Here is a 17,002-nt window from a genome sequence, read left to right as displayed (position 1 = left end):
ACACATACACACATACACACACAAACACACACACTTTCACATATTCATGAACACTCTTACACACACTCATACACACGAATGTAAACACACAAGTCTCAGGAATTTCTCAAGATACTGGCCATCACTTTTTATCAGTTTATATTATTTGTAGCATACTTAATAAAAACTTAAATGTATTAGATACATTTAATAATTATTAAATAAGTGCAGGTAAAATATCTCATAATATTTTTCAATATAAAATTTGTATTAGAAACTGCATCTGGTTCCTCCAAAACTAGAACTAGTGTGCTGTTTTTTGTTGTTGCTAAATGAATATAACACAATTTTGGAATTTGCACTCCTAAGTTTATAAGCACTCCAAATTCATTTAGTGAAGTGTCGCTGTTAATAAATACATATATATTTACATACACCAACACAAAATCCAGGTCAGAAAATGCAATAGATAGGGCAGAATTTTTTAAAACACTTTATTTTTTATCTTTTTGTCCTGTGGATATTAGCCAATAACAGTTTTTAATAGATGCCATAATAGATTTTGACCTCATTTGTGTTCAATAAGTACTTGTTGAATCAATTAACAACGGTAGGAGGCAAAAACTAGTTTTGTGAAAGTTTGTTTTTGAAAGCAATATTCAGAAGTATTTTTGTGGAAGAGAAAAATATTTCACTATTCTTTTCAGCTATAAAGATCAAGCACCAGGCCGGGTGCAGTGGCTCACGCCTGTAATCCTAGCACTTTGGGAGGCCAAGGTGGGCGGATCACGAGGTCAGGAGATTGAGATCATCCTAGGTAACACGGTGAAACCCCATTTCTACTAAAAATACAAAAAATTAGCCAGACATGGTGGCGGGCCCCTGTAGTCCCAGCTACTCGGGAGGCTGAGGCAGGAGAATGGCATGAACCCGTAAGGCGGAGCTTGCAGTTAGCCGAGATCGCGCCACTGCACTCCAGCCTGGGCAACAGAGCGAGACTCCATCTCAAAATAAATAAATAAATAAACAATCAAGCACCAATTAACCACAAGCCAAGGGGTTGAAGGGAAAAAAAATGTGGTTTCTGTAACAGAGGTGGGTATAAGTATAATAAAAATGTATAAAGAGTGATTTACAATTATAACAGACCAGAGAACTTTACATCTTCATCTTAGCAAATCTCAGATTTTAATATAATTATTGATTGGCTTTTCTAATATTATTACTATTTCAGCTTGCAAGATCAATGTACACAGGATAATTATATTCAAAACACAGAACAATGCTAGAGATCACATAGTTTTAAACATCTTCAATTGTATGATATTAATCTGTAGTCTTAGGATTTCTGTCTAGACCTTTCAAGAAGACAATGAACATTTTACCCTCCTTGTACTATGGAAATTTTCAGTATTTGTTTCTAATAAAATGTTTACTAACTCAAAAAATGTCATTAGGCAGACAGAAATCCCATTTTTTTCTACATGTAACAAATATTTGAAAATCAGCAACAAAAATGTAGTTATTAATACTAATCTGAATACTAGATCATATGCCATATGTTTTCACAATAACATAAAATTGCAATTAAATATTTGATTAAAATTTAATAAAAGACACAATTATTGGCTCACTTTGCTAAATCTAAAAAAAAGAGGTTGAATAGATGCAGTTGACTTACTGTCTAAACAAAATTCTCTCAAAATTCTTGCAACATGTTTTCGAGTTAACTACAGAGAAATAGCAATAATTCATCTTGAGGAAGCAATTGACATTTAACTAACATCCTTTACATGCAAATTAAAACTTATCTGAGCAAGCTAATTGGCAGTGTTTCTAGAGTGCTTTTGTTGATTTAACTAACAACTGTAATTGAGTATTTCATGAGTTTTAGCTGTATAGAGTAACAACAAAAAGCTTTATACTGTAACCATGTTATATAATAGATACCTAGAATAATATTTTTGAATAGGCATATACTGCTCTTATCCAAATTCACAAATGATTTCACGTTATACCAAGACTGTTCATCATCTTGAACTCATATAAAGACATTAAGGCTGGAAAAACATACAAAGGTTAATTTAAAAATAACTTTACTTCTATGTGAACACTGAAGCAGTCGCTAAATGTATTTTATATTCAGAGTCTATGGAAAAGCTAATACGTTTTTGGTCAGTACTTATACAGCCAAGCTATTTAATCTATAAACACAAGACACTAGTATCTCAAAGAACGGCAACGTAGAGCTAAGACATTTTAGCCTAGAGACAGCTATTGAGACCAAAAACTTCAGCACCTATCTCCATGGGTCATTTCCATTAGAGTGGAGTTTAAATCTCCTAACCTCTCATACAGCATCAGCATCTGCAAAATAAAAGCTCCATTTTAATAATAAAGATGATGAAAAGGAGAGAAAATAAATTATTTGATGATTACATCCATAATTGAGAATTATTTGTTTTCTAAAAATGAAAATTGCCAAGAGAGCATAAACTTTCTTGAACATCTTAAAATTTTTGCTAAGTATTATGCATTTATTTTTCATTTTTTTAAACTGGGAATTTAAAACTGATCTTAACATAGTTACAATTGTTTGATATTTTTCTAAGTCTATTGTTTACGTATTATTAGAATGTCATTTTTCTGGTTGATGGCTCTTGCTTTCCTGCTAGTAAAAATGTAATTTAAAAGACTTATTCCTATTAAATTGGTACATTGATAACTTGAGTGAATTTAACTTAAATATGTAGCAGTTTTTAAACATAACCTGTTAGAATTTCAATAAGAACAAAGCATTTAAGTCAGAAACTATAAGAAATTTTTTATTTCAAAAATGGGAATCAAATGGAAATAATGTAATTCTACTGGATTTATGTTAATTATCACCTGATACTGTATAGAACATTTAATTTTTCCCACTGGAGAAGTGAAAATAAGTTGCTAATTCCCTATACACTGAATACTGATATAAAATTACATATACCAAACTGAAAATGTGTTAATCTTCAGAAATTTAGTAAGATAAGAAAAAAACACTTTAACCCAAAACTGAAAATAACAATTCATGAAAGAAATGCTTGGGCTTTTATTTATTGTAGTGGTACAAATACATATTGAAGTCATTCTCATCCCCTCAAATCTACCTAAAATAAAATATCTTTCCCACAAGATTAGATATAAACTCTTACCTTTGCGATGGAATTTTTTGTTTCAACTTGGCTAGGCTATGATGCCCAGATGTTTGGTCAAATACCAGTTTAGATGTTGCTGTGAAGGAATTTTTTAGATGTGATTAACATTTAAGTCAGTAAAGTTTGAGTAAAGCAGATTACTCTCCATAATGTGGGTGGGTCTCATCTTCATCCTTAAACTGAGGGTATTGGGGGAGAAAGCCTTCAGTCCCCTATGAAAGAAGAAATTCTGCCTCCAGATTGCCTTTGAACTCACAACACATCAATTCTCTCCTATGTCTCCATCGTTCTAACCTGGTCTGCAGATTTTATATTTGCCACCCCACATAGTCACAGGAACCAATTATTTAAAATAAGTCTCTCTCTCTCTGTACACCACCCCCTCCCCCCCCGCCCACACACACCCCTATTGGTTGTTTCCCCAGAGAACTCTAACACAGATTTCTTTAACTGTCTCATGTATTGGAAACCATTAAATAAGCATGATTTTTCTTGTGCTTTTCCTTGACTTGAAAAGCAGCAAATTCACCATTTGCTGCTCTGATAATCAACTTATAGATCGAATAATAATTGAGGCAGAGTATATCAATAAGGTAATAATTGTTAAGTTTCAATAGAACCCTGGTGATAAAATCTATATTACAACAACATGAAAAGTAAGTGATGAAATAGCAAATATAGACAAACCAATTATTAAGTCTGGCCATGATGAAGAAGAAAGACAGAGAGTAACATGGGTCAAGATAGATTAACTTTTTAAGTCTCCATTTGAAAATAATGTGAAATATATAGTGGAATGCTAACAATAGACACAATATCTGTATACTTTTTATCTAGATTTCTGAATCTTTTAGTTTCTCTTCACTTATAAATGCTTCCATTTATTTTCTTAAACAAAAGGGCATTCCCCTAAATAACTACTATGCAATTATCAAATTCAGTGAAGTTACTGCTGATAGAGAAAACTATTAACATATATAGTTCATATGCAAATTTTATGAATTATCCCAATAATGCCTTTTATTTCACTTTTTCTCCCAATCTGGAGTATAATTGATAAGCATGCATTGCATTTAGTTATGATGGAAAGCAATTTGAGTTTGTGCTCATGCTTACACAGTAAGAGGTGGTAATTTTAAATAAGATAAAATGGTGCAAGTAAAAATTAAAATTCCCTAAATTGCTAGGAGAATGATGATATCCAGCACGTGAGTGAAAGCCCAACGATAGAAAACAGATTTAGCAGTGGCAATACAAGTAAATTTATAGGTCTAATGGCAGAAAATTGGTGCCTGTTTTCTCAGTAAGTGGAAAGTGAGTTTATCTGCTGAGTATAGAGGAGAGTTTGTAGGGTCAGAAGTTTAAAGCGATTGGAAACTTTTGAAATAACTGTTGTGATAAATGAGAAAGGGAGGTGATGAAGGAAATGGAAGGTTGTTCTGCAATATTGAGGGCAAACATGAAGTTGAACACTTAAATTTATGGTGGCCACAATCTAAAGGTTGTACAATTTACTACGGCAATATTCAGGAGCCTCAGACTGGGAGAGAGGATGATCATTTGGAGTTTCCCAAGACTAGGGTTTATCCAGAAGAGTTAAAAAAAAAAACGGACGATAGGGAATATGGTTAAGTTTTTGATGACAGAGCTTGCGTGATAACACATGCAGCCTAGTAGGAACGCCAAAAAACAAAGAAGAAATTGATAAATAAGAGAAAAACAAAGCAAAACTAAAGTGTAAGCTGTAAAATAGATACAGGTAGATCAGATATAGAGTTTTTAAAAAAGAGAGAAACCAAGTTGTCCACTTCAGAATTGGAATTCTCAATAGGCCAAATAAGATATATAGTGGAGGTAATTAAATTAGAATAATTGGGTGCAAAAACAACATAATATTGCAGAGATGTGATGTAGGAATTCACGCTATTAGAAGTACAAATGTAACCATGAGAATGGATATAAAGGGAAATTCACTGAATATCATATTTTTCAGTCACTAAGTTGCCATGTACCATTGGAAATTCCACATGAATTTGAAGTCAGAACAAATGTGGTGAAATATTTAAGGGGAGAGCAAGACATCATATACGTTTTAAATTCTGTAGTAACTGGATGCATGTTTACTTAATAATGAGAAGAAGATATAGAAGGGTGATGTAGCTGGGTGGCATGTCTTAAAGAAAGAAGCAAGGCTATTTTAAAAGAGAAGGAACAGGACAGATATAAAGGCAGCATTGGAGATCAAGCATATCTGTGAGACTCCAGCTTTCAATTTTTAGTTAAAAACTGTGTACGAGAAAATTAGCCTTCCCATGAGAGTGCAAGACAGGAAGAACTTAATTGCCATTGTCACAGAAGATGAAGGAAATGTGAAAATGAGAAGTTAGGAATGAGAGTTTGTTTACCAAAGGACAGAAAGTCCAGAACATGCGGTGAAATGAATTTAGAGAGAGAAGATAGGGAGGGCTTGGTTAAGACAAAAGGAAGAACAAACAGCTATGGGCAGGAAAATACGAATATGGAAAAGACGGTAGTTGTAATTGGCAATGTGATTTTCTAAAGCATTATCACAGACAGGTGGATTAGAATTCACTTAGGCTTTTCATGAATAGCAGCAGCGCTCTGGATGGTCTGCAGTCCTAGCATATTTTACGGCCGTCTTAATTGAAGGACACCAGCCAATTCTGAAAGGAAGATCCTGATTTGGATTCACTATGTGTTTTAGATATGTTACCAGACTCCAGGTGGATCTCAGAGTTGAACACGAAGCCTGAAATTTCTGGAACCCTCTTTTTGCTGTTCCTCAGCTAATATGGATTCTGAGATTGTGGAGCTCTAGTAATTATCTATATCCAACTTTTTTTACAATATTGAAATTATTGGTTACTTTTTCCTATTCACTTGATAGTGACTTTTTAAGCATATCCTGTAATATAGATTTTTTAATTTTTTTATATTCCTAAGATCTTCAAACTAGTATGACAACAAATATTTCTACAGGAAAAGAATACAACGAAAAATAAACAAACTAGTTATATATGCAGATTCAAAATGAAAATACATACAATTAGCAAATGCCAATATTGGAGATATTGTCTGAAAAATGTATAATTTTTTCCTAATGAGTTCAAATAATATAGAACATGAACACAGAATTAAAGGGTATTAATTTTCTTAGTATTTTTTTTTTTTTTTTTTTTGAGATGGTGTCTCGCTCTGTCGCCCAGGCTGAAGTGCAGTGGCGCCATCTCAGCTCACTGCAAGCTCCGCCTCCTGGGTTCATGCCATTCGCCTGCCTCAGCCTCCCTAGTAGCTGGGACTATAGGCCCCTGCTACCACGCCTGGCTAATTTTTTTTTTTTTTTTTTTTTTTTTGTATTTTTAGTGGAGACGGGGTTTCACCGTGTTAGCCAGAATGGTCTTGATCCGATCTCGTGATCCACCCCTCTTGGCCTCCCAAAGTGCTGGGATTATAGGCGTGAGCCACCGCTCCCGGCCCTTAGTAAATTTTTAATACAATATGTGGATAGGTGCTGGAGTACTGGACTAACTAGCCATTCATAGGCCAAAAAAGAAAAAAACCTTAGCCTATGATTCACACTGAAGTCATACAGTATACAAAAGTTAATTGAATATAGATCATGGATTTAAATGCAAAATTAAAGCTACAAAACTTTTAGAAATAAACATAGGACCACATACACAAATTAATTCAAAATTATTTTTAGATTTAAATGTAAAATTATAAACTTTTAGGAAAATAATTTTTAAGAAAAGTTAAGATATGAGAACCAAAAGCAAAGTTATTATGGAAGATATTGTTAAGTTGTTCTTCATCAAAATTAAAATCTATTGATTTCCACAAGATCCTATAAAGAGATAAGCTACAGGCCAGGCGCGGTGGCTTATGCCTGTAATCCCAGCACTTTGGGAGGCCGAGGTGGGCAGATCACTTAAAGTCAGGAGTTTGAGACCAGCCTGGCCAATATGGTTAAACCATGTCTTTACTAAAATTACAAAAATAGCTGGGCATGGTGGCAGGCCCCTGATCCCAGCTACTCAGGAAACTGAGGCAGGAGAATCTTTTGAACCCGGGAGGCAGAGGTTGCAGTGACCCCAGTTGGTGCCATTGCACTCCAGCCTGGGTGACAGGGTGAAACTCCGTCTCAAAAAAAAAAAAAAAAAAAAAGAGAGAGAGGTAAGCTACAGCTTAGGATAAAATACTGGCAAACCACATGACTGAGGAAAGTCTTGTATCTAGAATATACAAATTACTTTCAAAACTCATCAATAAAACAAACAATATAATTAGAAAACGTACAAAATACACCAACAGGCTTTTTTTTTTAAAGAAAATACATACGAGAGGTAAATATATGATATTCAACATCATTAGCTACTGGGGAACTGCAAATTAGAACCATAATGACATATTGTTACGTATCTATTAGAATAACTGAAAATTTTTAAAAAGCCATATGGTAATGTCATAACACTGGCAAGCATGTAGAGTAACTGGGTACCTCATATATTGATAGTGGGGTTGTATTACAGTATAGACATTCTGGAAAATATTTGATAGTTTCTTAGTAACACATGCACTTATAAGACAGTAATTCTTCTCTTAAACATTTATCCCAGAGAAATGAAAACTCAGATTCACAGAAACACTTGCACTTTAATGTAATCAGAACCTGGACCAAGAAACAGAGTACTATCACATCCATAAGATTCTTATTTTTAACTCTGTTCTCCTACAGTGAGACATTTGATTATTATTGCTTGCTATTATATGCTTACTTAAGGAGTTCAAATGAGTATTGCTTAATCTCACTATGTGTAAACAATGTCCCATCATTTCTGTTGCCACCTCTCTATCCTCTTGGGTTCTGAATACCTATGATTGGTCTTTGAAAACCTATGCTGGGCTGTCCATATATTCCCTGCCTTTATGGAACATCCTGACTTCCACACCTCCTTCCACTCCCCGACTTCCCACCCTCTTCCCCAGCCTTGCAAACTTAGACTTTAGCATCTCACAGTGGGCAGTCACAGATGCCTCTACTTGACTTTTTATGAGCATAAATGCAGGTAACAATGAACTCTTGAGTTCCACCTTGGACCTCACTGCACCTTTAAAACATATAGTTAATCCAAACCAGGATCTTCCTTTCGGAATTGGCTGGTGTCCTTCAATTAAGAAGGTAATAATATATGTTAGGACTGCAGACCATCCAGAGCGCTGCTGCTGTTTATGAAAAGCCTAAGTGAATTCTAATCCACCTCTCTGTGATAATGCTTTAGAAAATCACATTGCCAATTTTAACTACCATCTTTTCCATATTCGTATTTTCCTGCCCATAGCTGTGTGTTCTTCCTTTTCTCTTCACCAAGTCCTCCCTATCTCCTCTCTCTAAATTCATTTCACTGCATGCTCTGGACTCTCTGTCTTTTGGCAAACAAACTCTCATTCTTAACTTCTCACTTTCACACTCCCTTCATCTTCTCATGAAAATAGCAATTAGGTTCTTCCTGTACTACACTCTCATAAAAAAATATTATTTCTCATCTACCCTTTGTAACTAAAAAAATGACAGTAGGAGTCTCAAATATGCCTGCATTCTATAAAAGCTTATGTAAACTTTTGTTAATCAAGATTACCAAAACATACTAACTAGATTTCATATGATTATTATCACATGCAAGCTTTGTTTTCCTAAATTAAATGTTTTCCCTAGTATAATTATTACAATTTTGATATTACAAAATTTAAATATTTTGGCTATATACTTTTTAGTTTTTTTCTCCCTTTAAAAGCTGAAATGTAATGAAGTACATCAAAAAGAAAAGTGAAGTTTGCTTGCTAATGTCCCACTTTTTAAAGTATACTTCCATATACATAATCAGTTTTGAATAATTTAGTGATGTATATAAGCAAAAACAAGTGCCATTCAAAATTTTGAGAAATGAGTCAAACTGACTAACACAATACAGCTATGCTAGCTGAGTAGATTGAAAGCTACATGTGTTATTAAATCAACAGTCTTTTCTCCATTAGAGAGATAAAACTGATCTTGCCTACATTTTATTGGTACATTGTGTTAGTATCTTCCAGTGTTACAGAATGTTATGCTGATATAGCTCAGAAGATAAGATGAAATATAACTGCCTTATCTCTATAAGGGATTCTCTGGCCAACTCTGGTATAAATTGGGCATGAAATGAATGTATTACTGCAAAAGTGTGGAAATAAAACCCATTATAAACTAGAAATTAACCGTTGCAATGGCAAATCATTTTGTAAGCCACAGGATTTTCTTCCTGACTGCTTTGGTTTATTCTTTTTAAAGCTTCACTGAAAAGCAATTACTTTCCTTTTTCTATTTACTTTTCTTACTTATGACTTTCATATTAATGTGTACCTTGTCCATTTGGTATATATTTGAAGAACTAATTGGTTTTTAAAGGTCTATTGATTTGGTGGCCATAGTCTGTATTTGCTTTTCACCTATCTTTTAAAAACCTATATCCTACAACTTAAACTTGTTAAAAAATAAAACACCTAATAACATAAATTAAGTAAAATTAAAATTTCATTCTCTAATGTATGAAATATGATGGGTCAATACTCTGTAACAATTAGAATGAATTTCTGGTGATTTTTACCTTGTTATTCTCAAATTCCCTTGTATCATGACCATGTGATTAATGTATGGAAAAGTAGCAAGCAAGCACGTTTGTTGTTTATTAAGTGAGTTTACATATATTTAGTAAATTTTAGTACCCATCACTTGTTGTTATAAATAAATTATAATGTCCGGAAATCAATGTATGTATGTAATTTTAAAAACATTTTAAACTATATTATATATTTTGTGACATTTGCTTCATGAAACTTGTTCTAGAGCTTTTAAATCAAACCTATTAAAATTATATAAAGAGAGAGGTTCACACTCTAACACTATATATGCATCTGTGGAAAACAATCGTTGTAAAAATATATCTCCAAATAAAAATCGAAATGGACTCATTGCACTTTTTATCCAGAGTACTAACAAAAACAATACCTATGCAAATAAAACTCTAACACAAGAAGAAATGTTACAATAAATGTTGGCCTTTACAAAACAAAATGTGAGTTATTTGATGTAAAGGAAGGTAAGAAAGGCATAAAACAGCTGAGTTTTGTAAACAAGACAGAAGGAAACTATATGTAGAAGTTGCAGGTGAAGATGCAGGTGAGAGCTCTACGTGAATTACAGGTGAATTATAGTGGCACTGCAGACAGAGGACTCTGGCTCCTTGTCTTTTATTTGACTCACCACCATCATTATGAGAGAGAACTGTAAATAAGCTTTTAATGCAGAGGATGAGGTCAGGCTCAACCAAGGGGAAGATCATGGGGGTAAAAGATAATTCTACCTGGTATTCTTTCCTCTTGCCTATGTTAATACACTTAGTATTCAGTGGACCTTGGTGATATGAGTTTTATGTGCATACATCAATGACACTTCCAAATTATATTGAAGAATTAGCCTACTTAGCATATAGATCAATTCTTATTGTGAGGTTATATACTGAAACAGAGTAGACTATGTTTATTTTACATAAGTAATGTTTTTTCCTTTTACGTAAGTATATGATTTCTGAAGAACTCTTGTTGAAGGACCTGTTGGTTTACACAACTACAGTAGAACCCAGTGAAAATACATTTATGATTTCCATGGAAAAATTCCTCAACAATCAATCTCTTGAAAGCAGTTTCTACATAATAAATATATACTGATCTTTCTGAATATTTTAGAGTAATGGATTCTTTTTACAGATACATGAGGAGACATTCTCTTCAGATACAGAGTTTATTTTCCAAAAATTTTCCTGTGAACTTGCTGATGGCTCCCATATTTTTTTAAGTTTGAGGATTCTAGGTTAAGATCCATTTCTGCAGAAGGATTATAATGAGGTTAGTAAATGTGGGAAAAGCTGTCAGAAATGTTCCTAAATAATACATATTTATTAAAAGCCTTCTGAAATAAAAAAAAAATGATACTAAGTGTGGAGTTGAAAAGAAGTACAACTCACGATTTGTCTGAGAGAATTTTAAATTTCCATCAGGGATTTTTATACAATTTAACAAAACCAAAACAATGTGATTAATGATTTTTAAAAATAAGATCAAAATATGGGAACATAGTGGAGGACAGTCAGATCAAAGTAAAGGTTAAAGAAGGCCTTCAAGTGGATGTAGTATTTAAACTGGATTTGAGAAATATAAGAATACATAAAGTAGTTTAAGAAGTCTTGTATATTTTGTCCAATTCAAGGGGAAATAACACATGTAAAAGTCTAAAGAAAAGAAACAATTTGTTGAAAAAGAAATTCAATTAGACTGTAGGAAAAAAGTAATTAAATGGAGAAAAGGCAGTAGGTAAGACTAGAGATTAGAAGCCGGCAAAGTTATGAGAGATATTTTGCACTTTGATTTTTGAAATTAAGACTTTGTCTTCAGTAGACAGAGGAGACCTAAAATCAAAGATATAAAATATGTTAAATTCCTTTTTGGTGGCCAAAATGTCATTTATTTTCATGTTGATATAAGACAGGTTTAAGAATGTTTTTTAAATATTGTTACATTTATTCTTATAAATAATTATCTTAACCTCAAAAACAATAAAAGACAAAAAATAAAAAATATATAATCTAAAAATAGTTAAAAATTTGTGTCAACTATGATATTAAAATAGACTTTCACACTGAATTTTTAGTAAAAGCAAACAATAGATGCATCCTATAATAGGCCATTGAGAAGAGAGACACAGCAAGATTACAAATTGACTGTTAAATATAGCAGGCAACCACATGCAAAAAATAACATGACATTTAAAATACATAGCAAAAAATTGGCTAGGCTCACACCTGTAGTCCCACCACTTTGGGAGGCTGAAGAGGGCAGATCACTTGAGGCCAGAAGTTTGAGACCAGGCTGGCCAACATGAGGAAACTTGGTCTCTGCTAAAAATACAAAAATTAGCCAGTCATTGTGGCATGAGCCTGAAATTCCAACTACTCAGGAAACAGTTTGCAGTGAGCTGAGATCACGCCACTGCACTCCAGCCTGGGCGTAACAGAGTAAGATTCTGTCTGGGGAAAAAAAAAAAAAGGTAGAAAAAGTAAGTTAAAGTATGTAGTGAAATTAAAGTATTTTCAGAGTTTGAAATTATGACATTAAAACTATGCTATCAATATCATGTCTTTTAAATTATTCAATAAATATAAAGAAGAATCCAGTTTTTGTTCTAGTTTATTTATTCATCTTCTGGAGGTAGATGTTTACTGTGGATGCTTCTCTTGGTTTCTTTAAGAAAAAATAATTTAAATATGTTTTAAGAGTACTTGAAACCTCAAATACGTTGTTTCTTTTATATCTAAATAAAAATGTGGACTATTTAATTCAAGTGTATTTTGAAATTATTCTAAATCATAAAAAAGAAAAACAAATTATTTGCTATGAATCTACTATATGATTTGAATTTTTTTTAAAAGGTCGAGGTTTTGCAAAAAAATACTAAGAATCAATTGCATTAAGTTATATTTATATGATATCCAAATAAAATATTAGAAACACAACCTAACCTCACATTTAAAGAATAATAAATGTATAAAAGCTAGGACTCCACATTAACGGCTAAGAAAAAAAAATTGTATAGTCACTTCTGCATTTGGTGAAAATCATGTGATAGTTCATGTGAATTGAATTTAAAAGACTATATAATAAAGGAATTAAACTACATTCACTCAACATTCTAAAAATGTTACATAAAATATATGTGATATGATAAATATATAAAAGTATATATTTGTAGATGTATACAAAATGATTGAACAGTAGAAACATTTTCTATAAAGTCAGCAATAAGACAAGCATTTAACTACTTTTCTCAAATATTTTCTGGAAGTACTACCTAATTTATTTAGAAAAGAGAAAGAAAACAGTTTTATTAGAATGAGAAAAATAGATGAAAAAATCATAAATATGCATAGAAAATATGATGGCAATCTTAGAAAATTAAAGATAATTAAATGCATCCAAATAATTTTACACAAAAAACTTCAATCGTAATATACACGCATCAAAATACCTAAAATACAGAGGCAAATAATATTGAGTGTTCTCACGATTGTGAAAAAATTGAAACTTCCATATACTGCTGATGTAATTGTAAGTTAATGCACCTACTTTGGAAAGTTATTTGGCAGTATCTACAAAAGATAAACAAATGCATAAAAAATTCCCAGCACTTCTAATTCTAGGTAAATACCCAACAAAAAGTTTTATGTATGTTAATTGAATGCAATGCCAAAGGACAAAATTTCAACAAATTAATTTTAATGATTGAATTGGCTTTTATTAGTGATCCATGAAGCAGACAGCATTCCATCTAGAAAGAGAGAGGTACCTTGCTGGGCATGACAGAACAGTTGATTTTGTAAGGTAACTTGAGCACAAACAAGGAAACAGTAATAAAAAATGTGTATTTGTTAACCTCATGTTACTTCAGGTTACTTTCCTTGTAAGAGTTAAGGCAGAGAGGATTTCAAGTCATGCTGGCTTAGGTTGACTGGGCCCTTTCATATTGGTTGATGTGAATCTCCTGTTTTTAGGACGCTTTGGGATTTTCCTGCTTCTTTAAAATTTCAGTTTGATTACATGGCACTTAGCATGAGTGACTCCATTTTGTTTTGATCTATTGGGGCCTAGTGCAGGAGCTTAGTCCAAAACAATGCCTCCAATGAATTTTATTTAACAACAGGTACGAGGACTTGGTAGCAGTAATATTCATAAATAAAACCTAGAAATAGCCCACATAGGAATAGCAGAATTTATACTTAGGGAAATATATTATGTTGAAGATTTGTTAGAGAATGGTAAGGAAAATTATACATTCCTAAAATGTATTGGTGTTTGCTATTTGCTAGTGTCAAGAAACACTGAAAAACTCTGAATGGACAATGATTATGGGTATCCTGTCTAACACACCCTGCCAGGTTATCTCTGCATTTTATTGTCACTGAGTTACTTACAACCTGTAAGTAGTAGAACACATACTAATAAAAATGATCTTGTTCATAGAAATGCAAATTATGTCAATTGTAATTTAATTGCCTATTGCCCTGTATATTTGACAGTTTTGATTCTATTTATAAATTTATGTCATTATTCTTTTTTTTCGTCGATGGATGCTTGACACTCTGGATTCTTCTGTGAACATAGTTGTAACATCTCATTGTTTCTTCCAATAATTAATGAATGAAATAAAATCATTAATAAGTGTTTATTTTATATTTACATGAGGGCAAAAATTTTATCTTTTTTACTTTTTAACATTACACTTTTTGAATAATAATATGTCTCAACCCTAAAATACTTTGTGATACTTTAGTTTAAAAATGGTTTGGTTATATCAGAAACTATTTATTATTTCAGTGTTCCCATTGAAAGAGTGGTTGTTTTGGCTTAAATTTTAATAAAGATATATTCTAGAGTATGATAATAGAGAGAACACTATATGTGCAGTGCATACTCTGAAACATCCATAACGTAACCAAAGAAAAATATTTTTACAAAGAGCTACAGGATATGATCCTAGTTCTTTCAAAAGACTTAACAAGCTTACATATAGATTATATATCTTATAGAAATACATGTTGTAAAATCTGTCGGTCTTTGCTGGAATAAGATATCAGAATTATATCAACAAACAGATACTTTTGAAAAACAAACAGAGGCATTTATACAGTTCCTTCACAGTAAAAGCAACTGCTTCTGAGACGAAATTTGTTTTGTGAAACCATAAGTCTGAAACAGTTATTTGGAAAAGTTTCTGGCACCTAAAAGAAATTCATGCATTCCTAAAGCTTCAGCTTGCTAAGAACTGACAGAAAATTAACTTTTAATTCGTAATTTACCCAGGACTGTGTTTGGGCTGTTTCCAGGAATTTTCACATGGCAGATCTCTAGAAGATGTGGGAAGAGTCTGAAGGAATCACATAGGGTCTTCATATTTATCAGGAGGTGTGATGAGCAACAACATGCCTTAAAGTGCCAATAATATTTGCCCCTCAGATTCCAGGTGCTCTGATCTGGTGCCCATCTTGTATCAGCTAAATTTCTGCACTCTTTATCTAATGGGAAGATACTTGTATCCCTTACCTCAGTTCCTTGTCTTCTGTCAATCACATACTGATTCTGCACCAATACGGCAAAATTTCTCACCTACAGAAACACTCATGACACTTTTACACGACTTGGAAAAGGAGTATTACAACATTTACATGACTTTTCATATAAAAATTTCAGTGGAAGTATGAAATGTAATCACAATTATTAAAATGTAATATATATTGATTAGTCATTAAGAACAACTGCTTGATATCAATGAAGATGAAATTTAATGAGTTTAATTTCAAAACTAAAGTTAAACATTATGACTGAAAATAAAATATCATGATTAGTTCATTGAAACCAAGATGAAATTTTTTCTTTTAGGCCTACATATTTTGGTAAAGTAACATTTTCATTGATGTAATCAGTAAAACCAACCATTTAAAATTAAACCAGCCATTTAAACTGTTGTATTATAATGCATTAACTCCAAAATACATAAAAACTATACACATTAAATTATATTTATTTTAACACCATACTAATTATACAACATTTAAAATATTCATAGGCCAGGTGCAGTGGCCTGTAATTATATAATTATATGCTTGTAACCCCAGTCAGGGTGGGAGAATCACTTGAGCCCAGGAGTTAGAGACCAGCAACACAGTAACACTCCATCTCTACAAAAAAAAAAAAAAAAACCTGGACGTGGTGGCATGTGCATGTGGCCTCAGCTACTCAGGAGGCTGAGGTTGGAGGATTGTTTGAGCCTGGGAGGTCAAGGCTGCAGTGAGCTTAAATGGTGCCACCGCATTCCTGCCTGGGCAACAGCATGAGATTCTGATTAAAAAAGAAAAAAAATATTTTATTTTAATGTTACACTTTTAACTTTACGTTGTCCTATTTTGTGTATTATATATAGAGAAAACATAAAAAAATTCACAGATGAAAGTTCACATTAAAAACATAGCTATAGACTGGGCATGGTGGCTCACCCCTGTAATCCCAGCACTTTGGGAGGCCCAGGTGGGTAGATCATTTAAAGTCAGGAGCTCGAGACCAGCCTGGCCAACATAGTGAAACCCCGTCTGTACTAAAAATACAAAAATTAGCCAGGCATGCTGGCAGACTCCTGTAATTTCAACTACTCAGGAGGCTGAGCCAGGAGAATCACTTGAGCCCAGGAGGTGGTGGTTGCAGTGAGCCAAAATCACACCACTGCCGTCCATCCTGGGCGACAGAGCAAGACTCCATCTCAAAAACAAAACAGACAAAAAACATAGCTACAGATGCACGTTCAGTAAAGGTTTGAGAACATTGCTATAGGTGTCAGACAAGATGTTGAATTTGACTGATAGTATATAGAATCATTAATATATATTTTCTCCTTCATACAAACATCATGACTACTTGAACAAATAGAATATTGAAGATTGAGGTGAAAGGCAAGTCATAGAACATTTGTAAGAAGGAAATTTACAATAATAAATGTCTAAGTAAAAAAAGAAGAAATATCTTGAACAATCTGACATTACACCTCAAGGATCTCTAATTAACAATGTAACACAACACCCTAAGGAACCAGTAAAAGAACTAAGTTCAAAGTTAGCAGAAAGAGTGGAATAATATAGATCAGATCAGTCAGAGCAGAAATAAATGAAATA

At 32.9% G+C, this 17,002-nt stretch overlaps 1 long non-coding RNA gene across 1 annotated transcript; it reads right to left on the bottom strand.

Moving 5' to 3' along the window:
• Positions 1-1,045: 1,045 nt before the first annotated feature.
• LOC105377384 (uncharacterized) lies at positions 1,046-12,130 on the bottom strand. The gene is made up of 3 exons (XR_939097.3): positions 12,089-12,130; positions 3,171-3,249; positions 1,046-2,346 (listed from the first exon to the last, which is right to left on the bottom strand). It is a non-coding gene; the product is annotated as an uncharacterized LOC105377384 (long non-coding RNA).
• Positions 12,131-17,002: the final 4,872 nt, after the last annotated feature.

Source organism: Homo sapiens, chromosome 4, assembly GCF_000001405.40.
Source record: "Homo sapiens chromosome 4, GRCh38.p14 Primary Assembly".
Lineage (NCBI taxonomy): Eukaryota > Metazoa > Chordata > Mammalia > Primates > Hominidae > Homo > Homo sapiens.
This window is presented reverse-complemented; position numbering and strand designations above follow the sequence as displayed.